At 46.3% G+C, this 18,144-nt stretch overlaps 1 protein-coding gene across 3 annotated transcripts, besides 1 other annotated feature; it reads right to left on the minus strand.

Moving 5' to 3' along the window:
* Nucleotides 1-7,297: 7,297 nt before the first annotated feature.
* Nucleotides 7,298-14,643, minus strand: ZNF416 (zinc finger protein 416). 3 transcript variants are annotated; one of them, XM_024451594.2, is made up of 5 exons: nt 14,404-14,643; nt 13,979-14,060; nt 13,789-13,830; nt 11,536-11,662; nt 7,298-9,433 (listed from the first exon to the last, which is right to left on the minus strand). In XM_024451594.2, the coding sequence occupies exons 3-5, from the start codon at nt 13,801-13,803 to the stop codon at nt 7,851-7,853; spliced, it is 1,725 nt and encodes a 574-aa protein (XP_024307362.1). In that variant the 5' UTR covers nt 13,804-13,830; nt 13,979-14,060; nt 14,404-14,643; the 3' UTR covers nt 7,298-7,850. The 3 variants fall into 3 exon arrangements, with proteins under 3 accessions (XP_024307362.1, NP_060349.1, NP_001340334.1); NM_017879.3 differs by lacking the exon at nt 13,979-14,060; NM_001353405.2 differs by lacking the exons at nt 11,536-11,662; nt 13,979-14,060.
* Nucleotides 14,333-14,552: a silencer, noted in NCBI's record as "silent region_11076". NCBI's record gives its function as "represses an Ori minimal core promoter by ATAC-STARR-seq in GM12878 lymphoblastoid cells {active_cell/tissue: GM12878}" and the evidence as "EXISTENCE:reporter gene assay evidence [ECO:0000049][PMID:35858748]".

The raw sequence follows: 18,144 nt of genomic DNA on the forward strand, positions 1-18,144 counted from the left end.
TTTGAAGAGGCAATTGTCTGTTAGCCAGAGACTTCCCTTAGAGGATAGCAGTCCTGCTATATTATGTGGGGTCTAAACAGTTATTTTCCGGCTGGGTGCGGTGGCTCATGCCTGTAATCCCAGCACTTTGGGAGGCTGAGGTGGGTGGATCAAAAGGTCAAGAGATCAAGACTATCCTGGTCAACATAGTGAAACCCCATCTCTACTAAAAATACAAAAGTTAGCAGGGCATGGTGGTGCACACCTGTAGTGCCGGCTACTCAGGAGGCTGAGGCAGAAGAATTGCTTGAACCCAGGAGGCAGAGGTTGCAATGAGCCGAGATCACGCCATTGCACTCCAGCCTGGTGACAGAACGAGACTCTGTCTCAAACAAACAAAAAACAAACAAACAGTTATTTCCCATTATTAACTTGGTGGCCTCTGGCACGAGCAAAGCCACCAATGCAACTTCTTGGAGGAAGGCTGGCCATCCTTTAACCACCAAGTCAAGTTCCTTGCTTAGGTAACCCACTGGCTGTTGAGCTGGACCTCGAGCCTTTGTTAAAATTCCCTGGGCCGTTTCCTTTCTTTCTGATACATAGAGATTAAATGTGTTCCCTATGAGAAGACTGAGGGCTGGTGTTTTAAGTAATGCTTGTTTTAACTGGTTAAGGCTTTTGAGTTTTAAGATTCCAAGTATTAGTTGCTTGAGTTTCTTTTATGAGGTGGTATAAAGGGTGAGGTATTTCACCATATCCAGGTACCCACAGTCTGCAAAATTCAGTAATTCCTAAGAATCCCCTTAACTGTTAAAGGAAATGGGCTTAATCCTTTCCTTACCTGGTGCTCTTGTCCCTTCTGATAAGACTAGACCTAGGTACTTTACTGAAGTCTGACAGAGCTGAGCTTTAGATTTTGAAGTCGTATATCCCCTTTCTGCCAAGAAATTGAAGAGAGCCTCAGTGCTTTCCTGTTACTTCCTTGGTTGGAGCACAGAGGAGACTGTCATTTATATACTTCAAAGTTTAAACTTGAGGGTGAGAAAAATTAGAAAAACATTTGGACAGGGTCTGTTTCAGCAACTTCCTTCTGATATCGGGGGGTGCCTGAGTAATAAACCTGCTCTTTATTGAATTGGGAGACAGGGAGGTGTGTTTCACTAAGGCCTCTCTCAGCCTTTCCATAACGGCTGAGGGATTTTCATCTGATTTTTGATTTAACATGGATTGTTTAGAGTAATTAAGAGGTTTGGTTTTGTTTTTTGCTAGCCTTTTAATATGCACATCAGAAAGTGTATTCCACTCATCTATGCGATGACTAGTCTCCACTTAGGGTTTTCAAGGGGCACTGTTTATCTTCCTACTGGGAATGGGAATCCTGTCTCTTTTTTACCCTCTTTCCCCTTTTGACTGGGTTTCTTTTTTGACTGGCTATAGGATACATGCTGTTTGTCGGTGAATCTCTCTGCTGCCTTAGGGCTGCCTGTTTCTCAGCAGCAGTTAGAGTTTGGCTTAGGAGTAACATAACATCTCCCCATGCAAGATCAAACATTTGGGTTAGATTTTAGAAAGCTTTTATGTATCTATCAGGGTCATCCAAAAACTTGCCTAAGACCCCCTTTGTTTGTCTAAGGTACTGCAATGATATGGGAACTTGAACTCTAGTGGCACCATGTCCATTGGGCATTTCCTGCAGGGTCAACAGTGAAGTTGAGTTTTCTTGTGTGGCACAGCTGGAGGAGCTGATGCTTGGCTATTGGAGGCCCCAGATAAGGGATGGGGAGGTAGAGCATCCAGAAGTTGCATTTGAGGGGGTTTTCTGACTTTGCGGTGTTGTCCACTGTGGGCTTGTCTGATATGACTCTTAAGAGGGCAGAGTCAATTTTGCAGTGCTTACAAAGAGCTGGGCTGTTTCACAGGGCAAAGAAGGCTTGCACATAGGGGACCTCAGACCGTTTGCCCTCCCACGTGCAGAAAAGATCTAGTTATTGGATATTATTGAAATTAACACTTCCCTCAGCAGCCCAGGCCTATCCATCCTGGAGCTGGTAAGATGGCTATGTCCTCGTACAGAAGAATATAAGCCATTTTTCTTCAGTCTCAGGGTTAAAAGTCTCAGTGTCTCAGGATGCACTCAAGAGGAGTGCAGACTGAAGATGGTTTGTTACCTGTTTTAAAAAGAGTAGGAGAAAAGGCGTCCCTTGGTCTTTTTCCTTTTTTTGGTGTGACCCAGGGTGGAGGGAAAGATCGAAAGTGCATCCCACTTCTCTTTCTTCCCATACTCTGGGTCCTGGCCACCATCATAGGTGTCACCCATGGATGCAAGCATGACCTTCACCCGTGGATCTGGAAGAGCTAGTTGGGTGTAATAGTCATGCTTACCTGTATGAGGACCTGACTCTCCACGCTGCTGGTTTCCTAGTCCCAAGTGGCCCATAAGGCTCCCAGGGTACCCTAGTGGTCTGGGAGATATTGTATTTGGGTGAGACCCTTTAATGGAGGGAGTGTTTTAATACTATCTCTGGCTTCCCTTGCTATGGCCCTAGCAAAACATTGAAATCCCAGAGAATGGGACCGATTGACTTCCAAATATGAAATCTTCTTTTTATTTAAATGCCAGTGTAGTTCAATGCAGAACAGGTGACTCAAAAGAACATAAGGATTGAGTGGCTGTTCTCCCGACTGTTAAAGGTACAGCTTTGCTGTTAACAGATGGAGCATGGAGCTTAGTCCCTAACAGAGGCACACAGGAGGGAGAGGAATTGGGGAACTAATGGTTTTGCACAAAGGGCAGATAGGGCTCCTTATGGAGAAAAAATCCTATTTCACTTGGTGGCGCTGTAGGATCTGAAATGTTAAATAAGAACTCTGACTCCAAATTCTTTCCAGGAAGAAGTTAGAAAGAGAGGTTTGGGCTTAATAGGCTGTCCCCATTGTATGCCTTCCAGAAGAAGAAAATTAACTTGTCTCATAATGGAACTGTCTAGATTCATTGGGCAGTCCTGAGCTTTTACATGGAGGAAAAACACAACCCAAATGGAGAGGGAGAAGGGTATTCACTCAGCATGAAATATCCCCTCTATACAGTGCCATGAATGTCTGTCATTAGGGACAAAAAGCTCTCACTAGGTGAAAGTTTAGACAGAAATCCTCTAATTGTTCTAATTAGATCAAACCTCTATAGTAAACAGTTCAAAAATTATAGTGTCAGGGAATCATCTTCATGGTTGCTGGACTTGTCATCAACATCCCCAGGATCTAGAGTTCCATCTTCTGGCCTATCTGGAAAACCTCACAGACATCTACCCAGTACTTCTAACTAACCATAGCAATCCCAAAGTACCAAAACCCCTACTTATTCAGTGGAACTCTCCTTCACTTAATGGATTCCACCTGAATGTCCCCTTCCACACTTGCCATTATACCTGGACTTGAAAAGTTGAGTATATCTCCAGTGCATTAATGATTCTTTTGCACTCACTACTATGTTAATGACACAAAAGCAGACGTTTCCCTGTGATGCTCTGATCTAACTATAGTTACCAAGTTTCCAAGGCAACAGCAAGGTAAATGGTATTTCACTTGTAGGCAAGAAGACCATATATGATGTCTTCTCCCAGACCAGAACACACGGGAAAAAATGACTGCCTAATCTGGGAGGGTGGGAGTACTATTCGCTTCTGGAAAACAAGGTTTGTTTGACCACCCCCATTGGAACAGGGGAAGAATATCTCTATAGACCCAACTTGGCAGCAAAGGATAGACATTACACCCTGTAGGACCTCTATGCTCCAACTGGACTCATTTTTGTTTGTGGCCATGAATGAGAAGTCACATGCTGTAACTACTCCTGGCTCCCCAGGGAGCCATCTGTTCTTTTAGGAGTAGCTTTCCCTTATATATCAAAAACTTGGAACAAAGATAAATGTATGTTGACCACCCTTGCCCCTCCAAGGGTCACAGTCTATAACCCAATAAGGCCCAGGAACACCAGAAGTCAACAAGCAATAGGATTAATTCTGGTGGGAATCAGGGCAGCCATAGGACAAGCAGCACCCTAGGGTGGCTTTGCCTACCACAAGTCAACCCTAAAGAACTTGACTCAAACTCTAGAATCCTTAGCCACCAACACAGGTTAGGCACTACCAGCAATTCAAGAATCTCTAGACTCTTTGGCAAATGCAGTTCTCAATAACACACTGGCATTAGATTATCTACTAGCGGAACAAGGTAAAGTCTGTGCAGTTAATAAAACCTGCTGCACATATATTAGCAACTCTGGATAGGTTAACATTCAAAAGATCTATAAGCAAGTGACCCTGTTATGTATATTTTCTTTGGCTCTTGCTTGTTTAACCTCTTAGTAAAGTTTGTGTTTTCTAGATCAATAGTCCCCAACCTTTTTGGCATCAGGGACCAGTTTCATGGAAGACAATTTTTCTATGGATGGGGTATGTGGGGCTGGGGCTGGGGGCTGGTCTCAGGATGAAACTCTTCCACCTCAGATCATCAGGTACTAGATTTTCATAAGGAGTGTGCAACCCCAGTCCCTTGCATGCACAGTTTATGATAAGGTTAGCACCCCTATGAGAATCTAATGCTGCCACTGATCTGGCAGGAGGTGGAGCTCAGGCAGTAATGCTCACTCACCTGCCACTCACCTCCTACTGTGCAGCCCAGTTCCTAACAGGACATGGACCAGTATCCACAGGAGAGGGGTTGGGGTATCCTGTTCTAGTTCCAGGTAAAGACAATGCTGGCACAAGGCTTCCAACCCATCCTTGTCTACTATTCCAGAGAATGGAAGTGTCCTTCCTTTGGGGACCTTATATGTGGTATCCAGGGATGTTTACTCCTTTAGTGCTAGGCAGGGCCTAGGCCCACAAAATCAGCAGCAAGCAGTCACAGAGCCCCCTTAAGATTAAAGAGGAGTATCTAATCTCTGATGGGAGAGTGAGATAGGAGGCAGGACTCCATACCAGACTGAAGACTGGCTGAAACAGGGAACAGGCACCAAGAGCATATCTACATAATACACACCCACCAGTGCCATGGCAGTTTACCATCACCATGACAACACCCGGAAATTACCATCCCTTTTCTAGAAATTTCCAAATAACCCACCCTTTGCATGTAGTTAAAAGCGGGTATAAATATGATTGCAGAGCTGCCCCCTGAGCTGATACTCGACACACTGCCTATGGGGTTGCCCTGCTCTGTAGGAGCAGCCACAGAGTTGTAACCCTGCTGCCTCAACAAAGCTATTTTCCATCTACCACTAGCTTGCTCTTGAATTCTTTCCTGAGTGAAGCCAAGAACCTTCTTGGACTAAGCCCCAATTTTGGGGCTCACCTGCCCTACAACGCCACCTGATGTCCTACCTCTGTGCTTTCTAAAACCATCTCCCTTACCACTGGAAGAATATAACTTAGGCCTCAGGAAATGAGGATAATTCATGCTGACATAAGGAGCTCTTTAAAAAATAAAAAAGCAGCTGGGCGCAGTGGCTCATGCGTGTAATCCCAGCACTTTGGGAGGCCGAGGCAGCTGGATCACCTGAGGTCAGGAGTTTGAGACAAGCCTGGCCAACGTGGTGAAACCTCATCTCTACTAAAAATACAAAAATTAGCCGGGTGTGGTGGCACACGCCTATAATCCCAGCTACTCAGGAGACTGAGGCAGGAGAATCGTTTGAACCTGGGAGGTGGAGTTTGTAGTGAGCCAAGATCATGCCACTGCACTCCAGCCTGGGCGAGAGTGAGACTCCATCAAAAAAAAAAAGAGGCAGCATTATATAATAAGATACCTGGGGGATATTGATGGACATGCTACCTTGGAGTCCTGCCTAGCTCAGCCCCTTCTTCGAGAATAATCCACTACCCACAGTCCTGTTAACCAATCTCTGGGGATACCTGACCCAACCAGGCTAGATCAAGTTTTCTTGCCTGAATTCTGGAATAAGGACCTCAGACAGAGGGCAGAGTGTGCTGGGCACTAGGGTGAGGATTTGTGTTTAAAGGGCTGTTTCTACCCCAGTGATCCCCAGTGCAGACACAGGGAGACCAGGCAAAAGCATGTGAGACCAAAACAGAGAATACAACAGGACCTGTGGGTAGAGGGAGAAGGGCTTGAGATGCCTTTCTCACCAGGCAGTATGTGCAAGAGGATGGAATCAGAGGACTAGGGTCACCCACATGGGACAGAAATAAAGCTTTACCCAGCAAGACCAAGAGCCCACAGTTCTGCAGCCTCACATCTTGGTGCAGTGTCCTCTGGGCCAGGCCCAAATATCCACATTTCTACCAGATGAAGGTCAGGGCCATGACCTTGAAAGGCACCAATGCCTGGCAAGTCAAACAGAAAGTTGACCTCAGACTGTTAGATATTAGAACCTATTGCTTGGTCACTGGGAAAGGCACAGAGAACCAGGACATCTGAGGGTTGAGCTCCATGTAGGGCACAAGGGTGAGGGACACTGCCTCTGAAAATAGGGTAACTGTGGCAGAGGATAAAGCCTATGATGGGGGATGTCATTTCCAAGTTAAGGTTTCTGCTACCCAGGCTCCTTCTGATTCTCTACCTCCCACATGTCCTCCTGCACTCACATTAAATCATCCCAAGTAATCCTCCAGGTTGCTTGCCTGGCTCCATGCTCTGACAATCATGCTGCAGAATGGAGCTGTTCCCTCTAAGCCAGGCTATGCCTACACTGTCACACCTTGTACAAGGAGATTGTGTGTGTTGTAAAAATAGACACAGCCAGTTACTAGATGTGTAGATGCACTTTTACCACAGGCACATTTGTTTTGCTATTACCTCCTCCACTTTCTATTAATCATACCCAAAATTTCTGTACCAATTATGTCCCATGCTTAGCTCCCATCAGCTTGAGTACCACCATCTATGGAATCATGGGCATCAGGGCACATAGGTTCCTTTGCAGAAGCTGGGAAAAAGCTTCGTCTCAACAGTGCTGGGCATTACAGCCTGTAGAACAATGCAATAAATCCATCTTATTCCCTAAAGCACAGGAGCCTGTCATAACAGCCGACTTGTCCTCAGGATGACCTCTGGTCCAGAGAAAGTGTAGGGATCCAGGCCATAAATTAGGACAACAAAATTCTTGCATTGTTTCCTAGGAGGCCTTGAGCAGCAAGGCAAAGTGGACTAAAACCAGAACAAGAACTACTGTCATTTTACTTTTCCTGCACAGGCCAGCAACATTGGGGCCCCACAAAAGCTGTCCATGCCTTTATGTAGGAGCCCAAATGTGTTTTCCAGCCACCTCACACAGTAAACCAAACCCTAAGACCACACATAGATTTAAAAATAAGGCCTTTATTACCACACAAACCAGAGCAATGTGAGGCAGCCAGTTACTAGGTGGTGACTTGGAGGCTGGAAAAACTACCAAGTGTTGTGTGAAAACAAGAATTTCCATGAAGGGAAGCCTTCCACATCAGCTTCCAGCAGAACCCAGGCTGGGCCCTTCTGGCCAAAACTGGTCAGATGTATGCTGTAATCAGTCAGAAAAGGGAAGGAATTCCCCTTAAAGGCTCAGACTGCTCAAGGAATTTCCTCCAAGGGTTGGGAGAACACAGGTGTATCTGCCTCGCCTTAGTATGCAAGGGTGACTAATGATTTAACTCTGGCAAAGGCCTCCAGCAGTTTAGAACATGCAAAGGAGCTCCTGCAAGACACATATGCCTGGAACTAATGGGAGTCTGACCCATCGGGAGGTCTAGAAGTATGAGGTTTAACTTTAGGCAGACGGCTCCTTCACAAAGGCTCTCTATAGCCATAACACTGAAGAAAGACATGGCACATTCCCTGCAGGTCTAAGGCTTTTCTCAGGTTTGGAGTTTCAAGAGTTAAACAATGTTAGATCTTGGGCTGTAGGGTTTTCCACATTTGCTGCTGTCACGAGGCCTCTCCACAGTGTGAGATTTTCGGTGGAGAATGAGGCCAGAGTGTTGTGTAAAGGACTTCCCACATTTGCCACACTCATATGGCCTTTCTCCTGTGTGAACCACTTGGTGTTGAATGAGGCTAGACTTTTGGATAAAGGATTTCCCGCACTGTCCACAGTCGTAAGGCCTTAATCCAGTGTGAATTTTCTGGTGTTCAACGAGGGTATAGCTTTGTCTAAAAAATTTCCCACATTCACTGCACTCAAAAGGCCTTTCTCCAGTGTGAGTTCTCTGGTGCCTAACAAGTTTAGATTTGAACATAAAAGCTTTCCCACATTCCCCACATACATAAGGCCTTTCTGCAGTGTGAACTTTGTGGTGTTTATTGAGGGTGGTTCTTTGGCTAAAGGATTTTCCGCACTCATCACACTCAAAGGGCCTAGCTCCACTGTGAATTAACTGGTGCTGAATGAGGCCACACTTTAGGCTAAATGATTTCCCACACTGGCCACACTCATAAGGCCTTGCTGTAGTGTGAATTCTCTGGTGTACAACAAGGCTGAAGCTTTGTCTGAATAATTTCCCACATTCACCACACTCATATGGCTTTTCTCCTGTGTGAGTTCTCTGGTGTCGAACAAGAGTGGATTTGGACCCAAAGGCTTTTCCACATTCATCACACTCATAAGGCCTTTCTCCAGTGTGAATTCTGCAATGTTCAATAAGGTTGGAACTTTGGCTAAAAGATTTCCCACATTCACCACACTCGTAAGGCCTTTCTCCAGTGTGAACTCTGTGATGTTTAATGAGGGTGGCTCTTTGGCTAAATGATTTCCCACACTGACCACACACATAAGGCCTTTCTCCAGTGTGGATTCTCCGATGATCATTCAGATGAGAGGTTTGGCTAAAAGATTTCCCACATTCACTGCACTCATAAGGCCTTTCTCCAGGGTGGACTCTTTGCAGCTGAACAAGGGAGCACTCACAGCAGCAGGCTTTCCCACATTTGCTAGATTCATAAAGCCTTTTTCCAGTGCAGACTCTAGGGTGAAAAAAAGTGTGTTTGTGGCTGGACTCTCTCCTGCATTGACTCCACTTGTAATGACTTATTCCAACATGAAAGGCCTCCTCACATTTGCTGATTTTGTTTGGCTTCTCATAGTTAGCAATAGCTTGCGGCTGAAGAATGCCCAATGGGGCTAGGAAGTCCTTCCCAACCTCACTGCTGGTGAAAGGCATTCCTGACTCATGGAACAGGCAGCACTGCACAAATGAGGCCTTGTCCATGTCACTTTCCAAGGGTTTCTCTGCACTATGATGCTTCTGGTCCTGGTGAAAGACCGCACATGCCCCAGTCAAGTATAGTTCCTGCCCAGGCAAATCGGTCAGGTGCAAAATGTCGGTCAGGAATGGGACACACATGTCACAGGATTGAATCTTCTGGGTGGATGGACTGGCCTCTGGAGTCCTGACCTGAGGTACTCCTTCTACAGAAACACTTTGCTCAGGTGTCTCTTCATCCTCCATCCCATGCCAACAAACTGAAAGCAGAGAAACACTGATGAAATGCACGTTGACTATGATGGGAGTGTATTAGTCATTTAAAAAACTATTTTCTGAATAATTGGTGTTCTGACATCTTAAAAACTTTGCTGGCCTGAGCTCAGGAGTTTGAGACCAGTCTGGGCAATATGGTGAAACCCTGGCTCTACTAAAAATACAAAAAATTATCCAGGCGTGGTGGTGGGTGCTACTCAAGAGGCTGAGGCACAAGAATTGCTTGAATCCGGGAGGCAGAGGTTGCAGTGAGCCCAGATCGCACCACTGCACTCCAGCCTGGGAGACAAAGCGAAACTGTCTCAAAAACAAAACAAAACAAAACAAAATAAAAAACATTGCTGGCTGGGGAGAGAATGGTGCTTCCAGAGTGAGCCAACTCTTAAAGAGATAGCAAAGGGCTCAGCAAGGAGCATAACAAATACACCATCAATCCAGAGCCCATACTCCCAATCACATTTTCTATGTGACTTGGATGCTTCAGGAGCTAATATTCCTCTGCTCTAGTCATCCCAAGGTCAGGCAGGAGACAACTACGCCTAGTGAGCCCCTTTGCCCCAAAGCAAACTACTCAAATTACCCAATCCTAAACTGTTTATTATGTCTTGTGTTACCTGCAGAAACCCCAATAAAGGCTGTGGCTTAATATTTTCCCTCCTCTCTTGCTTCTACCTTCTGACCACTGAGCACTTCCTCATGTGGCCCTGCATGGCATGGTGTTCACATGCTCTTGCTACTGCAGGTGATAAATTCCTATGTCACTGACATTAACCTCTCTGTATTGGCACTCTACTACCTCCATTAATTAAAATCCTGTGGGTACATAACAGGAAATGGGAAGCACCTTCACATATACATCAAGGAATGAATTCACAGTATTGCTTTGAAGCAATATTGAGGAACTGAAAGCAGGATAAGAAAGAGGCTGCTTGGCAGTAGTGGGCCTCTAAAGATCACAAAATGGGGAGGCCTCACCAAACACAGGACGTAAGAATGGGGTACAGTACACAAGGAGAGGCAGGGTCTCCAATCTATTCTTTTGCCAAATCCTGTGGCAAGATCTTGTCAGCTGGTGGCACGTGTATGCTGTGCTGAAAGCTGGCATTATTCGGGCCCAAGATAATGCAATTGGAAGTGAGTGGGAGATTCCAATTGCGATCTTGTGTTCAAGAAATATTTAATTGGCATGTGCACAACTCACAACATATCGTGAGTGGGTCAGTGTTGGAAAACATGCTGGGGGGCAGTGCAGAGAAACTGGTGACACATGGAGGGCAGGAAGATGGGGGCAGCACGAGGCCGGATGTCCCAGATGAAGCAATAAGCCAGCAAAGTGTCAAGGAAGAGGAAGAAAACATAGAAATGAGATGTGTCCAGTGGCATTAGCACCAAACTCTGGATGACACAGGGCAAATTCCTGGTAAGATTAGAAAACAGGCTGGATGCCATGTCCTCACCCAGGTGCCACTGACTGAGGCCAGGCTTCCTCTGAAGCCATATTCCCATCTTCACCCTTTCCAACAACCAGGGCTTTCCCACCACCTCTAGATGTGCCACTACTTGGGACCTGAATGAAGCAAGTCCTAAGGGAAAGCTGGGACAGGTGAGTATCCTGCAGTGGCCCAGAGCAAGTCAGCAGCCTTGAGAACACAAGAAAGAAAATTAATATCACACAGATCCTTGAAGGAGGTTCTGGCAACCACAGCTCATGGTCCATGTAAATACTGATGAGGAAAATTCTGCAAATTCCTAACACAGGTAGTCAAAGGAAATGTCATCTAGGAGGCAGAATTTGAGACACAAAGTACCATGAATATGGACACAGCCACCCAAAGAGGAAGTGAAGAAGTAAACGGAGATGCATTAGGCTGACTCAAGACACCTAACAGCCAGACCCATCCCTGTGCATTTTGGGACAGCAAATGTCAGGGCTGATTAAGGAGTGCAATGATTTCATTCCTTACACCACAGCACATACGCCAAGACAGTGGGGAAGTCAGCAAAGCCCACGGTCCGGCAGAGCTGCCTCTGAGGAAAAAGAGGATAGACGAAGACCAGGACACGAGAGTGGGTGTGAGGGCCTTACCCAGCGCAGTTATAAGTGCAAAGTTCTCCAGCATCACATCGCGGTACAGGAGCCTCTGAGCCTCATCAAGGAGCCCCCATTCTTCCTGGGAGAAGTAAATGGCCACGTCCTCAAAGGTCACACAGCCCTGCCATGATGGGGATAGATCTTTCCATGATCAGATTCTCTCCTAGGACCCCAAGTTCATGCCCCCCACACATCCTTTCCCTGCTTATCCCCATACCTAAGCCCCACCTCAGAGGAGATACCAAGACCTGGTGGCACTGATTCCTGCCCTCTCCTCATGGTCCCATCATCACTGTGTCTTCCCACAGCACCAACAGGCAGGTGGGCCAGGAAATGCCATTTTAAACTCTGGGTCTAGCATATAGGGCTGGATTTTGTCTTGTCAGACAGTTCTCCTGGGGTTTCCAAAATTATGCCACTCACATACAAACAATGATGAGGTTTGCCATCATTCTTATATCCTCAATGCCATGGCCATGGGTTGTTCAGTTCACACTTCCTCTCCATATGCACATCACTCTTTGAAGCACACACTCTCTCAAACAATCTCACTCCCACGGCTATTTCCACCCTGTTGCCCCACACCATAGGCATCTCTCTGGCATCCCCACGATAGTTGGAATGCAACATTCAGAAAGTGCTTGGCAAACTGAAATGAGGTCCGGTGCCACTCAGGCTGAATGGTCCCCACTGCCAAAGGCAGCCCTTCAGAGACCCTGCTCTGAAGGCCTCCCTGCCTGACTCTGTCCCTTTCTACATCCTCAGTCACCCAGAAATACCTGGGGATCTGACACCGATGGCCCTCTTGCACTAGCGCTGCACTTGATGTCCTCTCTTAAGTCACAGCCTTCCTCTCCTGCTAACCCTCATTCAAAGTCTGCCCCAGGGGACCCCCACACCTCAGGCCCAATAACTCCCAGATGACCACCTGTGCCCCTCAACTTATCCACCTCCCTGAAATTCCTGACACCTCAAGGGTTGCCACAAAACCCTGGTAGATATATCCAGAGTGCTGAGTAAGCACTAGTTCTGGTCTCAGTGTCATCTTGTCTCAATTACTTCCAAGCATTGATCTCATGCCCACTCTTCTCCTAGATCCTTGGCCACTTGCCAGATCATCCTTGCTCTCACACCCTACCATAGCCACCTCTCTCCCATACCTGTCTTTGTGATTCCCACCATGACCAACCATGTCCCCAAGCAGGAGAGCCAGTAGTGACCCCCAACCTTCCTTCCCTGGGCTGGTAATAGCATTACCAAAGTGATCACGATTCCACCTCCTAATTGTGTCCCAAGCTATACCCCTAGGCAAGTAGTGGCCACCACCTTTTAAATGTCTCTATCCTGAATCCCTCAACACAGTTCTAGTCCTGTAGGATAAACTATCCACTTCATGTCTAAACTAACTGTTCTTTGAAACATCTCAGACTCTAAAAGATGTCCCATTGGGCCATGTTCAGATGATTTTTATTAAAAAATTTTAAAAATAAAGATGGTCCATATCAAAATTTCTGATTATCTCTAGAGATAACTGACTCTACTACCAACTTTACAATCCTCGCTAGTGGAGCTTCCATATTTCCAGCTGCTAAACCCAAACACCTTGCTTTTACCCCTAAATCCTACTTTTCTATCTCAAAATCCAGGCTTCCCTACTTAAAAAAACTGATCTAAAATCCAACTACCACCTCCACAGCCACCACACAAGTCCAGCCACCAGTAACACTCACCTGGACTACTGCAGCAGCCTTCTTCACTATCTTCCTATCTCATACCTCACACTCAGCCTGTTCTCTCAGCTTGGCCACACACAGGGAACCTGATGAGACCTGGATCAGATCACATACCTCCTCTGCCCCCAAACTGTCATTGCTCATCACACACTCCAGAAGAAACACCCGACAACTGACAGCCATTTTTTGTCTGATTCCTGCATCCCAGCTTTCAGTTCCCATGAGAAAGAAAACAGCTGTAGTTTCCTAAACCAGCTCAGCCTGACCTTCAAGCACTTGCTCATCTGGTATCTAAGCCTGAGACAACGTTCCACACCTTACTTTACTGGTTCCCAGCAATAGGAACCATTCTATACCAGCTTCCAGCCTGGATGTATGACCCTGGGACTGATGTTTGTTCAGGATTCCTAGAACCAAGGACCCAAAGAGTGCCAAGAGAAGAGTCCCAGAACACAATCTCAGAGACAAACACTGGGGTCAGCATCAGTGAGGGCCCGAAACACTCTCCACTCACCTGTGTAAAGCCCATAAGTTTAGCTTCTGCAGTCACGGGAACCTGCGGGAAGAGGAAGGCTATGAGAGGCAGGTAACTATGGTGGAAGCTCCATGGGCTGATGCCTCCTTGTTTCCCTGCGCAGCCCTGGAGCCAGGTGACTTGGTGATGACTAAATTATTATTGCTCCTCAGTTCCGTGTGACTCTTACCTGCTGTGGGACCTTGCACAAGGACTCAACTTCCCTGTGCCTCGGTGTTATCCCCCTTCCAGGCTGTTCCAACTCTGAGTAACTTTAGAAAAAATTTGAAAAGTCTAACTCAGACCATGTGCCTCGTCTGTTCACAACCACCCATGGCTCTCAGCGTCTTGAAAAGAAAGAGCCTCATTTTACCATTCGGGCGTGAACGTTACTGGCTCAATCGTCCCAGCAAGATTCACAGAAACCGGCCCCTCCGCCTGCCACACCCTCCACAGCCCACGACACCAGGCTTGTAAATGGGAGCCCCACCCGCGAGGGCCTCATAGTCCTGGACTCTAGGGTCGGGCTGCAGGGACGCAAGCAGGCGCCCCTCATGCAGGGTGTTGGATTTCCGGCGGAGAGGGCAGGTGAGGCCCGGGAGACGCAGCACTCACCGAAGTCGAATCCCTAAGCACGGCCGCCGCCATCGGATTGTGAGCGGAGCGGGGCCGGGAGCGGCGGGCGACCCGGGGCGGGAACCCAGGCACGGCTGCCACCAGCGCCAGCGACCCACCGGCTGATGCGCAGCGGGGCGACCCCCGCTCTGTGCCGGAGGCAGCGTTTCTAACTCAGGCGGCGTGGGCCGAGGTAGAGAACCACCAAAATTACCATCTCGGAGCGGTGCCGGAAGTCCCGCCTTACCGTATGCAACAAACGGAGACAGGTCCGTTCCTGAACGTTGATTGGCTCCGCGTCTTTGCAGCTTGGCGCTCGGCATTATGGGTAATGTAGTTCTCAGAAGCCCAGGGTTCCGGTGCCCTCCCTGAGATTCACCCGGAACAAGGGCTAAGCGGCCCGCGGAGGGCGCTAGGAAAAGGCGCGACACCAAGAGCGAGACAGGGACTTGCTGCTCCTTAAAGGGGCCGCTGGCCGATTTCCGCAGTCCCATACCCACTGAAGGGAGTGTCTGGGTTAAGATAAGAGGTTGTAGAGACCAAGGTTCTTATTAAGCAGATGAAGCTTTCACGCAGCAGGCTTCAGAGGGAATAGATTGTAAATGTTTCCTATCAGACTTTGAAAGGTGCCAGACTCTTAATTCTTTCCTGGACCATGAAAATAAAAAAACCCTGGAGAGGAAAGGGGATTCTCAGCAAAATGCAGATTCCACAAGACACACCTTTGCAGGGCCTCTTCAAAATATGTCAAATAAATAAAGTTTAGAGTAAAATACTTCAATTCCTTTCAGGGCCTGCTATCTGTCATGTAATGCTATACTACAATCAGGCTGGAATTCACTGTCTTATTGCTACAAGAAGTCTTAAAATCTCTGTTTTAATGTTAATGCTGGTCAGTTGTGCCTGAATTCCAAGGGGAGGAGGGCAAGTCTGACCCTCACTTCCCATCACGTCCTGAACTAGTTTTTCAGATTAACTTTGGAATGCCCTTGGCCAAGAGGAAGGATGCATTCAGATGGTTGGGGGGCTGGGAATTTTATTTTTGGTTTACACTTCTCATGCCTCTTGGAATCTCTGAACCACATACAACGGCCATTTGTTGAGTAAAAGCTTCCAATGCAGGAAACTGTCTCTTTCAGCCTCATGCTATACACCATTAAAACAGTAATTACTGGCAATAAGACTGGGCTTTCTTAAACATACAGGATCTCACAGACCATAAGCCTATGATCCTTCATACCAGCTGCCCATAATACTTTTGGTTTTGGAAGCAGCACCCCATAACCTCAGCATGGCTACCAAGGCCTCCTTAAGACAGGGTAGAATGAATAAGATCTAGTATTTGATAGCACAGTAGAGAGACTACAGTCAACAGTAATTTATTGTACATTAAAAACAACTAAAAGAGTATTATAACTAGAATGTTTGTAACACAAAGAAATGATAAATGCTTGTGTACCCTGATATGATTATTACACATTGTATGCCTGTATCACAATATCTCACGTATCCCATAAATATACATACATACTATGTACTCATAAAACTAAAAATTTTAAAAGACAGATAAATGGCAAGCAGGTAGATGAAAACATGCTTAACATCATTGATCACTATAAAAATGCAAATCAAAACTACAATGAGATATCATCTCACTCTAGTTAAAATGACTTTTATGCAAAAGACAGGGAATAATGAATGCTGGCCAGGACAGAGAGGAAAGGGAAACTTCATACGCTGTTGGTGGGAGTGTAAATTAGTAAAGCCACTATGGGGAACAGTTTGGAGGTTCCCCACAGAAGTAAAAATAGAATTACCATATGATACAGTTTACACCACCCAGAAAAGAAATCAGTATATCTAATAGAGATCTGCACTCCCATGTTTATTGCATCACTATTCACAACAGCCAAGATTTGGAAGCTACCTAACTGTCCATAGATAAATGGATAAAGAAAATGTGATGCATATACACAATGGAGTAGTATTTAGCCATAAAAAAAGAATGAGATCCCATCAATTGCAAGAAGACGGGTGAAATTGGAGGAAATTATGTTAAGTAAAATAAGCCAGGCACAGAAAGACAAACTTCACATGTTCTCACTTATTTGTGGGAGCTAAAAATTTAAACAATTGAACTCCCGGAGATTAAGCTTAGAAGGATGGCTACCAGAGGCTGAGAAGGATAGCAGAAATGGAAGGGAAAGTGGGGATAGTTAATGGGTGCAAAAATATAGTCAGATAGAAGGAATAAGACATAGTATTTGATAGCACAACAAGGTGACTACAGTCAACAACAATCTATTGTAGAATTAAACATAACTCACCGGGCATGGTGGCTCACGCCTGTAATCCCAGCACTTTGGGAGGCCGAGGCGGGCAGATCACAAGGTCAGGAGATCGAGACCATCCTGACTAACACGGTGAAACCCCATCTCTAAAATCAAATCTCTATAATAAATCTCTAAAAATACAAAAAATTAGCCGGGCGTGGTGGTGGTCACCTGTAGTCCCAGCTACTAAGGAGGCTGAGGCAGGAGAATGGCGTTAACCCGGGAGGCGTTGCTTGCAGAGAGCTGAGATCGCGCCACTGCACTCCAGCCTGGGCAACAGAGCAAGACTTCGTCTCAAAAAAAAAAAAAAAAAAAAAGAATTAAACGTGACTAAGAGTATAACTGGAATGCTTATAACACAAAGAAATGATAAATGCTTGAGGTGATGAATACCATTTATCCCAATGTGATTATTACACACTGTGTGCCTGTATCAAACTACACCATATAACTCATAAATATATACACCTACTATGTACCCCTAAAGACTAAAGATAAGAAATCAAAAAAATAAAGACAGGATGGAGCTAAACCTGGGCCCTCTGGAATGTTCTACCTGCAGATGGAGCTGGCCTCCACTATCTTCAGTCCCTTGCTAGATGTCATGGTCCTTGAGGTCAACACTCCCCACACCTGCGGAATCCCTTGGGATTAACTGGGTGAACAGTAATCGAAGTTAGTGGACTATATGAATGACGCTGCCAAGCTATACTTGAATAGCTGTGCCAAATAGACAAACACAGAAAGAAAACACAAAACAACCCATCCACATCCTAAGGGCTTCACACTTTCTTGCACTCTATCTTCAATGTTTTTTCAGCTTTCTCTTTAGGTACTTATTGACTGTTGGTCTCACATAAGTTTAGCCATAGATGGAATTTATTACTGCTTTGTGACCACTGGCAGCCTCCCTCATCTCTGGCTGGGCTTCTCCCTGAAGGACTGGGCCTCAGGAGTAGGTGGGTCATTTGTCCCCTGGGCATGCCACACAGAGCAGGTTTTCCGAACTAGGCTATCCCTCCTCCCCAAGTTATCCAGGCAATTCCGCTAGTTCTATGCCTAGATGGACACACATGCTTGAAGTTTGGGGAGCCATGTTTGATGTGATGTGGCAACTCTGAAAGGACAGTGAGGGTGAGGGCAGGTGTTAGGTGGCCATTGTGGGGGCTGCTGGCCTCTGGGACCAGAGGGTAATGAGGTGCACAACCGTGTCACCTAGAGGGTGCCAGTGTTAATAAGGAAAAGGGTTGCTGTCCGACGCACACAGAAGCCAATGCCATGGCACCAGGTTTTTGAGAAAAGCAAACCTTTATTGCAAGTCGACAAACAAGAAGACAGGAGTCCAGCTCAAATCTGTCTCCCCAATATGGGGTTTGGGGCAGCTTTTAAGGATTAGGAAGGACAGGTT

Source organism: Homo sapiens, chromosome 19 (assembly GCF_000001405.40).
Source record: "Homo sapiens chromosome 19, GRCh38.p14 Primary Assembly".
NCBI classification, from domain to species: domain Eukaryota; kingdom Metazoa; phylum Chordata; class Mammalia; order Primates; family Hominidae; genus Homo; species Homo sapiens.

What these genes read in the sequence shown, in the direction of transcription:
- ZNF416 (NM_017879.3), bottom strand. Translation starts at nt 14,436, where the DNA reads ATGGCGGCGGCCGTGCTTAGGGATTCGACTTCG. An exon ending in AACTTATGGGCTTTACACAG is followed by an intron (nt 11,663 to 13,788) that starts GTGAGTGGAGAG and finishes CCATCATGGCAG; the next exon opens with GGCTGTGTGACCTTTGAGGA. An exon ending in TGCACTTATAACTGCGCTGG is followed by an intron (nt 9,434 to 11,535) that starts GTAAGGCCCTCA and finishes CTCTGCTTTCAG; the next exon opens with TTTGTTGGCATGGGATGGAG.